Source organism: Homo sapiens, chromosome 6 (assembly GCF_000001405.40).
Source record: "Homo sapiens chromosome 6, GRCh38.p14 Primary Assembly".
NCBI classification, from domain to species: domain Eukaryota; kingdom Metazoa; phylum Chordata; class Mammalia; order Primates; family Hominidae; genus Homo; species Homo sapiens.
The window spans coordinates 99,172,623-99,183,552 of record NC_000006.12 but is presented as its reverse complement, the minus strand read 5'-3'; the positions used below and the strand labels follow the sequence as shown (position 1 = coordinate 99,183,552).

At 35.5% G+C, this 10,930-nt stretch overlaps 1 pseudogene; it reads right to left on the bottom strand.

Annotated features, from left to right (window-relative positions):
• Nucleotides 5,966-8,882, bottom strand: BDH2P1 (3-hydroxybutyrate dehydrogenase 2, pseudogene 1; annotated as a pseudogene).

Sequence of the window (10,930 nt, the reverse complement as noted above, 5' to 3'; positions counted from 1 at the left end):
GTTTCATGCCAATTCTGGAGAGAAGGCATAGAAAAATCTCCATAGAATAACATGTGACTTCAAAGGCTACTGCTACAGTAAACCTAAAAGGATAAACAGAATATGGTTTGTAATACTGTTACGATTCCACTTACATAAGAAACCAATGTTTAATGACAGTATTTGTTGTCTCATAAGTCTTACAGACAATTATTTTACTATAATTATGTTTCTAAAAACTTTCTGAGAAGCCTTGATACCAATCTGCTTACTCTGTTTGATGATGTAACCAAACCAGCACTAAGCACATGCTACATACTTTCCATATCCCTCTAGAACACCAGAGGATATGGGCAACTACAAGCTTAATATGAATCATAGTGTACTTAGGGGGAGTCTATTTCTTGGGATTTCAAATCATTCTGATGATTTTGGCAATCAGCATATTTAGTACCTCTTTTTATCTAATTTTTCTGGATACCTCATGCCTATGAACTTAAGTTATTTTCTTCTGTTACATCAATTTAAAATTTATAAGTTAGAGCTGGAGGAAACTAGTAATGGTCCTTTGTTAATGTGCTAAAATACTTTGAAATCATTGGAAGAGCAGTGCTGTGGAAATTCAAGGTAGTTATTAGTTTAATTAACCAAATAATTTAATAAATCCAATTAGTTCTTAACTTTGTATTGCTTGTAGCCTATTAAAAAGTAATTACCACTCATGCTTTTGATTAAGATTGAGTAGCTAGTATCAGACTAACTCTCCTGCTAAGAACATCTAGAAAACAGACATTTTTAAAGGCAGCAAAGGGAAATCAAGGCAGTCAGGACTTGACAGGTCAAGATCCCAAGAGAGGGAGAATGCATTAAAGTGAGGCCTACATTCCCTATCAATTTTTCCTTTTGGGACGTTTACAAGTTGTGGGGCAGGGTGCAGAATCTGAACAGAAGGGTCGTAGAAGGATACTCATTGGGCTAGGAGTCAAATATTAGGGTTCAAGTTTCCTGAGGCAGTCAGGACTTGAAGAGCAGGATACTAGAGGAAAGTTTACTATAAAATATTGAGCCCCGTATTCTACCTGCAATTTCCCCTACAGTCATTTGTCACATTTTAAGAAGTACATATGTGGGATGAGATGCTGATTAACTAAGCAGAAAGTAGCTGCAAGACGGTAAAAAGCTAAGCAGAGAGGGTAGAGTCACTGTGCTGAGAAGGCTCAACTGGAATTCAGGAGGAGGGACTCTGGTAAATACTCTAGGCTTTCAGTTGAGATTCCCAAAGGGTCAAGAACTAGGAACAAGGGAAAACCAGAAGTAGACTTACCTTGCCTGGATCGAGATGATCTAATAGTTCTCCATCTGTCTTCAAGAAAAAAAAATTAAATCTTCTCTGTGGACTTATACACAGAGAGGGTTGCTTATACATTAACATAGAAAAAATTAGCTGGCATGATAGGAAACAGGACCAAAAGACTAAAACCAAAACAAACTGCCACACCCCTAAAACTCCAAACAAAACAAACCCCCAAAACAACAAACAAAACAAAAACCCAAGGGGGAAAACAAGACCTACAAATGATTCAGATTTGGGGTTGTCAGACACAGGCATGTGTTCAAATAAGTATGATTAATGTGCTCAACAAAATAGAGAAGAAAATTAAAAATTTCACAGAGAGCAAGAACCAATAAAAATGAATCAAATAGAAATTGTCTAATTCAAATTCCTGTTACTAAGTTTAATAATTCAATAGATGGTTTAATAACAGATTAGAACTCAGTAAAAGGATTGTTTAATTGGAAGATAGGCCAGCAAAAACTATCCAGATTAATGCACAAAGGGAAAAAAAAGAATGAAAAGTATGAAATATATGATACAGATGGAAAATTGTGAGTGGCCTAAATATATGTAATTGGAGTTCCAGAAAGAGAAAAGAGAGAAAATGGGTCCATGTAACAGTATAATGTGTCAAATAAGTAATATTTGAAGATAAATTGGCTGAGAAGTTTCACAAACCCATGAGATATCAAACCATAGAGGCAGGAGTTTATGTATCATTAAGTAGCATAAATGCAAAGAAAACTACACGTATGCACACAATAATAAAATTGATGAAAAAGACAAAAACATCTTAAAAGTTGCCAGAAAAAAAGAAACATGTTCACAGCAGCAGCAATATGATTTACAACTGACTTTTAAGAGAATTCATGAAAGCTAGGTAATGATGGAATGGCATCTGTAAAGTGTGGAAAGAAAACAGTCTACCTAGCATTTTATACTGAGGAAAATATTTTCAAAATGAAGATAAAACAAAAATGACATTTTGAAATAAACAAAAGCTTAGGGAATTCATCTTTTGCAGAAAAAAAAAAAAAACCCAAAACTGTAAAGGGATTTCTTCAGGTGGAAGGAAAATATTCCCAAATGGAAATGTGAAACTTCAGGAAGGAATGAGGAGAATGGGTAAGTATGTAAAAAATATAAATCAATATACTGCCTGTTTAAAACAACAATTATAATGTAAGGTTTAAAATGTTTCTAGAATATAAATATAAGACAACAATATCATACAAGGGAGACGGACTGTGTAAATTAAAGTGTCAAAGACCCTTGTGTTTTCTGAGAAGTGGTAGAAGTATTAATATGCAGTAAACGATAATAAGTTAAAAATGCATGTTGTAATTTCTAAGGCAACCACTAAAAAAATAGCAAATAATCCCTATGTAACAAGCCAGTGGGGGAGGGAATGAAACAATTTTTAGAAATATTTCAATTATCACAAGAAAGACAAGATAAGAGAAAAAATGGGGAAAATATATGTTTACAAAAAGAAAATAAATTGTAGGGTAGCAGATTTGAACCCAAATATATCCATCTTTATATTAAATATAAACGGACTAAATTCTTCAAGTTAAATAAAATATTATCAGAATGTATAAAAATAAAAATCCAGTTATATTATACTTAAAAGAGTATAAGAACACACAAAAAGTATAAGAACACACAAAAAGTTGACGGTCAAAGGATAAAAGATACATCAGGTTCTACTAACTATTACTATCAATGTAGATTTTAGGGCAAAAAGTATTATTACATAAAAGGGTTTTTCAACTCAGCACTATTGGTATTTTGAACTGGATAATTCTTTGTTGTGAGGGACCATCCTGTGCATTGCAGGATGCTTATAAGCATCCCTGACCTTTACTCACTAGATGTCAGCAACATTCCCCGCCCTGAATCATGACAACCAAGAATTGTCTTTAGACCTTGCTAATGTCCTCAGTTGAGAAGCACTGTTATATATAAGAAAAGGCATTTCACTATATTAGAAGCGTCATTTCAAAAGGAAAATAAAAATAAAACAATCCTAAATTGAAATGTTATTCCTCTTCCAGCGTAAGCATTAAGGTTATAAATTTTTCTCTAAGCGCTGCTTTACTTAAGTTTCATGACTTTTTTTTATTGCATAGGTTAATCGGTAGTGAATTGCTTAATTTCCAATTTTCCAGTTCTATATAGAACACCGTACTGAACAACTGTAGACGTATAGTTTCTTTTCAAGTACATGAGAAACATTTGCCACAATACACTGTAAGCTGGGTCATAAAATGTGTCTCAACAAATTTCAAAAAGTCAAAATCATATGGAGTATGTTCTCTGAACATAGTGGAATTCTGTATAAATTTTAACAGGATGGAGGAGAAAATAAATATGATCATCTCAAAAAATTAAGAAACAGCATTTGATAAAATTTAACACCAGTTCATGAAAAAATCCTTTGCAAAGTAGAAATAGAAAGTAACTTTCTTAATAATAAAAAGTATTTTTAAAAGCTAACCACAAATGTCACTTTTAATGATTAAACACTAAAAACCTTGCCCCTGGTGTCAAAAATGAAGCAAGGATGTCTGCTATTGCCATTTTTATGAATCATTGTATTGGAATTCCTAGTCAGTGCAATAAGACAAGAAAATGAAACAAAAGACATATGTAATATGTAGCAAGAAATAAAACTGTTTTGGTTTGTGGATGATAGGACTGTATACTTGGAAATTCCAAAAGAATCTACAAAAATTGACTATTAGAATTAATAATAGTTAATTTAGCATGGCCACTGTATACAACAAAGTCAATATATAAAAATCAATTGTATCTGCATATATCAGCCACATCAAATTAGGAAATGATTTTTAAAATTTTACTAGCATCAAAAAATATTAAATAGGGAAAATAAAGATATGCAAGTCTTCTACACAGAAAACTATAAAATATTGCTGAAAGAAATTAAAGTAGAAAGAAATTAAGTAGGAAGCTGTAACAAGTTAATGGATTAGAAGGCTCAATATCATGTCAATGAAAAGAAGTAAACTCTGTAAAATATTTGAAGAGCTTTATTTTGAACCAAATATGAGTGGCCAATGGCCCATGACACAACCTCCAGGAGATCCTGATAACATGTGCCTAAGGTGATTGGGTTATAACTTGGTTTATACATTTTAGGGAGACATAACATATCAATCAATGCATGTAAGATATACATTGGTTTGGTCTGGAAAGTTGGGACAACTGAAAATGGGGGAGGTGCTTACAGGTCATGGGTAGATTAAAATATTTTCTGATTGGCAGTTGGTTAAAAGAGTTAAGTTATTGTCTAAAGATTTAGAATCAACAGAAAAGAATGTCTGGGATAAGATAAGGGGTTGTGGAGACCAAGGTTTTATCATGCTGATGAAGCCTCCAGGTAGCAGGCTTCAGAGAGAATAGATTATAAATGTTCCTTTTTGTTTGTATGTTTTTGTTTTGTTTTTTTTTGAGACGGAGTCTCACTCTGTTGCCTAGGCTGGAGTGCAGTGGCACAATCTTGGCTCACTGCAAGCTCTGTCTCCTGGGTTCACGCCATTCTCCTGCCTCAGCCTCTCGAGTAGCTGGGACTACAGGCACCCGCCACCACACTCAGCTAATTTTTTTTTTTTTTTTTTGTATTTTTAGTAGAGATGGGGTTTCACCATGTTAGCCAGGATGGTCTTGATCTCCTGAATTCGTGATCCCCCCTCCTCGGCCTCTCAAAGTGTTGGGATTACAGGCATGAGCCACTGTGCCCAGCCATAAATGTTTCTTATCAGACTTAAAGAGTCTATTAAGACTCTTATCAGTTTTAAAGTTTCTGTGTTCATGTTAATGCTGGTCAGCTGTGAGTCATATCTGACTCCCCACTTCCTCTCATGGCCAAAACTAGTTTTTCAGGTTAACTTTGGAATGCCCTTGGCCAAGAGGAGGAGTCTGTTCAGATATTTGGGCAGCTTAGAATTTTATTTTTGGTTAACAATTGAAAAGATGGGTATTCTCACCAAATTGAAATATAGATTCAATGCCATCTTAAGAAAAACTCTAGCATTTTTTTTTTTTGGTGGAAATTGACAAACTGATTCTGAAATTTATATATACATGCAAACCATCAAGAATAGTAAAGACAATCCTGAAGAAGAGTGAAGACAAACTTAAAGAGTATAGAATTCCAGATTCCAAAACTTCTTATAAAGCCACAGTAATTAACACTACTTCCTTGGTCCAAGGATCAACACATTGGCTAAAGGAACAGAAGAAAAAGTCCTGAAACAGACCCGCATATATCCCTGGCCACCTTATTTATGACAAAGGTGCCACAGTAGTACAGTGCCAAAGGCTATTTTTCTTCCTTCAGTAAATGGTGATGAATCAACTGGTTGAAATTTGGGAAAAAACAAAACAAAACAAACTTTGCTACCTATCCCGGACCATAAACAAAAATAAATTCTTAGATCATGGATCTTAATGTGAAATAAATTTTCCAGAATATAACAATGTATTTAATGTATTAGAGAATGTACTTAAAACCTTGGAACATGCAAAGATTTCTTTAAAAAGATGCAAGAAGAACAAACCATAAACTGAAAGGCTAGTGCACTGACTTTATTCAAATTGAGAATATTTTCTTTTCTCTCTCTTTTTTTTTTTAGAATTCATTGTGCATTTATTTAAAATTTATTTGTTCATAGCTATACATATATTATACACGTATACCTGTTCACAGCATAAAGTATTTCATGACATAGTTATAAGAGTCAGTGTTCTATGAATTCACTAGAGAAGTTACAGCATTTTGATTATGATACATGAAAAGAAACCCAAGTCATTTAGCTTAACTCCTTAATTTCATAAACCAGAAAACTAAAATCCAAGATAGATTAGGTGACTTGGTCTAGATCACAAACCAAAGTTAGCCATAATTCAGTAGTGTAATGCCTGGTCCAAAACCTCATAGATAATCTTATAATCAATGGACTCTTTCGGAATGCTAGTCAAAATGTCCTTTTGTGTGAATTTTAATGTACTGTCATCAACTGCATGATATTCTTCCCCATACACAAAGTGTTATCTTTTCATTGTGCACTTCAAAATTTTCCTTGTTAATATTAAAGTTCTAGGAAAAAAGGCTAAGAATAACTGCACATTTATTGAGTATCTCAGTGTGCATCATACCATTTGGTCATGTGAGGTTACAACAAGTGAAAAACAAACATAAAATCCTTAAATTAAAATAAAAAGAAAAAACTTTGCCCTGACTATGTTACAGAATTATCATCCATAAATTTACTTTTCTTGAAAAATTTATTTTCTTTAATTTCGTTTCCTGTTATATGATTTATATTTAAATTTACATTTATTTATCCAGAGACTATGTCCAAATTTTATGTCCTCTTTTCTGTTATCCTGGAGTTTGGTGAAGAAATCTGTACTTAATTTAAAAAAGAAATCCCTCTAACTGACAATGTTGTCAGTTAGCTAACTATATATTTCTTAGGCCCATGTCAAGTATCATTGCTTATTTTAATAAAGAGTGTTTACTTAGACTAAGAAAATAGTAAATAATTAATAAGGGATGGCATCCGTTAAGTATAAACACTGGATTATTTTTCATAACATGACAGATCAACAATATCGTTTTGAGGCTGAACTCCTTTACTTCTTTTACTGTAAGCTATTGAAGCCAAACTGCTTCCTACCTTTGTTCATCTATGATGGTGTAAAATTTTAAAATTAGGATCTACATACAGAACAATGCAGAATTATATAAAAATATTTGAATATTGAAAAATAAAGTGGAAATTATTATTATTATTATTATTTAGGTACAGGGTCTTGCTCTGTCACCCTGGAGTGCAGTGGCATGATTACAGCTCACTGCAGCCTCAAACTCTTGGGCTCAAATAATCCTCCTACCTTAGCCTCTCTCTATTAACTAGGCTGGTCCTGAACTCCTGGCAGCAAGTGATCCTCTTGCCTTGGCCTCCCAAAGTGCAGGAATTATAGGCATGAGCTACAATGCCTAGTCCTGAAATTACTATCTTCTTCCTTAACCCCACCCCCCACAAAAAAAACAAAAACTTCCTTTTTTCTTCATATTTACATTTTAATTGTATATGCTGCAATGGGCTATTTGTATCACCCCAAAGTCATGTGTTGACATCCTAACCCCCAATATGATACATTAGGAGGTGGGGCCTTTGGGAGGTAATTAGGTCATAAGGGTAGTGCCCCCATGAACAGGATTAGTGTCCTTATAAAAAGACACATAAGAGCTTGCTTTTTTTCTCTGCTCTTGCTATGTGAGGATGTAGCAAGAAGAGGACCATCTGCAAACTAGGAAGTGGGCCCTAACCAGATACCATATCTGCTGGCACCTTGATCTTGCACTTCCTAGCCTCCAGACTGAAAAATAAATGTTTGTTGTCTATGACACTCCATCTATGGTAATTTGTTATAGCAGCCCAAAGTGACTAACACAGATGCTTACAAATTGAGATTTATTTTAAAAACTATTCTCTTGCTGTGAGTTCAATATTTTTATTTCTTTACAATGATTTCAGAAGAGATTACAAAGAGATTAATATACTTAAAGAATCAGACTCTTGCAAACAGTGACATTGTTAAAAAGGGCTTAGTTTCATTAACATGTGATTAGCAGGAAGGAGATGATTGGTGAGTTTTCTTCATAGCCAGGTTCACTGTGGATAGGAAGAGCCTGCCTTCCTTCCCACCATGGAGATCCTAAAATCACAAGCTCCATCCTCCATCAATGATGACAGGGTTACCAGTTACATAAGCAGATTCATCAGAAGCCACATACACGCAGAGCATGGCTATTTCTTCTGCAGTTGCAAATCGTCCCATCTTTTGTCTCTTCAGGAAATCATTCCGTGCCTCTTCAGGATTTCCTCTGGCTTGTATTCTTTCTTGTAGAGATGGCGTATCAACCGTTCCTGGGCACACACAGTTGCACCTGATGCCCTGCTGGATGAAATCTGCAGCCACAGATTTTGTGAGGCCAATCACGGCTGCCTTGGTTGTGCTGTACACACATCTGTTCACAACTCCTTTGATGCTGGAAACCACAGAAAACATGGTGATAATATTGCCAGATTTTTGAGCAAGCATTTTAGGAAGGAATGCCTTGATCATCAGGTACGTGCTGCGCACATTGAGATTCATCGAGAAGTCCCAGTCTTTCTCCTCACAATCCAGGACAGTTCCATGATGGACAAAACCAGCAACATTAAAGAGAACATCAAGTCTCTCAACTTCATTGGCGAACTGATCAATTTGTTTCTTCTTTGTGACATCAAGGACACGAGTTTGAATACCCAGGTACTTTTCCAGTTCCTGAAGTTTGGACACATTAATGTCTGTGGCTATGACTTTGGCACCTTCTCTTACAAAAGCTAAGGCAGCTGCTTGGCCAATCCCCTGAGCAGCGGCTGTCAGGATGATGACTTTCCCATCAAGTTGACCCATCATGGAACCCTGTGGTTTAATTTTAAGCAGCGAGCTGCTGGCGTTCTTCAGAACTCGGTGGGAGCAACAAACTCTTTTTTTTTTTTTGAAACAGAGTTTCACTCCTGTGGGCCAGGATGGAGTGCAATGGCACGGTCTTGGCTCACTGCAACCTCCTCCTCCCGGGTTCAAGTGATTCTCCTGCCTCAGCCTCCCAAGTACAAATTACAGGTGCCTGCCACCACACCTGGCTAATTTTTGTAGTTTTAGTAGAGACAGGGTTTCACCTTGTTGGCTAGGATGGTTGCGAACTCCTGACCTCAGGTGATCCACCTGCCTTGGCCTCCCAAAGTGCTGGGATTACAGGTGTGAGCCACTGTGCCCGGCCAAGAATCTTTTCTTACTTTAAGGAGAATAAAATGGCAAGCAACAGAGGAAGATATTTACATTAGACAGAAGAAAATATTTACATTATAAATATCAGACAAAGGACTAGCATCCAGAATTTATTTAAAAATTTCCTACAAATAAGAAAAAATCAGTTAAAAGTGGACAAGAGACTCAAACTGGCACATTTTAAAAGGGAGTACCTCCATAGCCAACAGGCATATAATATAAAAAGTTGCTCAACATCAACAGCCATTAGGGAAATGCAAATTAATACCACAAGGAGCTCCAGCTAACCACCTATGAGAATGCTTAAAATTTTACAAATTGACAATACTAAATGTTGTAGAGGATGTGCAGAATTGAAATTTTCATTGAGTGTAAATTGGTAAAATTACTTTGGAAAACTTTGACAGTATCTTTTAAAGCTTAATATATGCATACCTGATGATGCAGCAATTCCCCTCTTAGGTATAAACCCAACAGACATTCACAGGTGTGTGTACCAAAAGGCATATACTAGAATGTTTGTAGCAGCATTATTCACCATTGCCAAAACTGGAAACAATTCCGATGTCCATCAAAGGTAGAATGAATGAACAAATTGTGGTACATTCATATAATGGAACAAACAATGGCAACAAAAAAGAATGCATTAATGCTACCCACCACAATGTAGATTCATCTCATGGACATAATATGTGAGCAAAAGAAGTCAGATATAAAAGAGTGCATTTGGTATAATTCCATTAATATAAAGTTCAAAACCAGGCAAAGCTCATCTATTGAGGTAGAAGTCAGACTTGTAGTTGCATTTGGTTGAGTTAATGACTGGGAGGAGCCATGAGGGAGGCTTCTGGGGTACTGGTAGCACCCTAAATCTTGACCTGGTGCTAGTTATGCAAGAGTGTTCAGTTTGTAAAAATTTATGAGATGTACACATCCCTTTGTGCACAATGGTGTATTTTTACTTTAATCAAAAGTGGACAAAAAACAATTACTACCCAATAATCTAGAGATAAACCATGGAGTTGCTTTTCCAGGGTAGTGGAGCAGTACTTTCAGTGGAGTTGAATTATACGAGGTTTCTAAGTTCAGCCTTCTAAAAGGGAAGATTGTCTTCAGGTTTCTCTAATTCTTGTTCAGTGGAATTTACCTGATGATTAGGTTGTTATGCTAAATATGAGCCGTGATATATATTTTTTTCCTTTTACCAGTTAGGCGGTCAATTGAGTCTGGTTAAATAACAAAGGGTTATTTAAAGAATCTTGATAAAAGCCACACTTGGGATTAACAAACTTTTTTTTTTTTTTAATTACCTTCTTTCTAGAACTAAGGGGCCAAGGATGAATTGGTAAAGTTTTTTATGCCTGGATTTTAAATCAAAGAAAAATTATCTCCAGTCTGGCATCTTTTGGGGCAAAACAAACAGAGACATGTGGGCGATTCTGAGGGTGGGGATCATGGGACTTAGGGTTGGGGATTGAGAAGAGCCAAGAGAGCAGTAGGAGGGAGGGAGAGTGTCAGAGGCCGAGAGTTAAGAGACAGCCAAGGAACCTGAAGTGAATTGGTATTTGTTCATTTGGATATGTAAAGCACCTAAGGGAGAGGAAAACAGGTGCAATATGAATGCATTAATGGAATGAAATATGAGGCTTGACCTATGAATAAATATTCAGAATAAAAGCATTTTAAAATGTATCTTGGTTTTAGGGCACTTACTCTGTCTGGCAGATAATTCAAAGTTTTCATGGC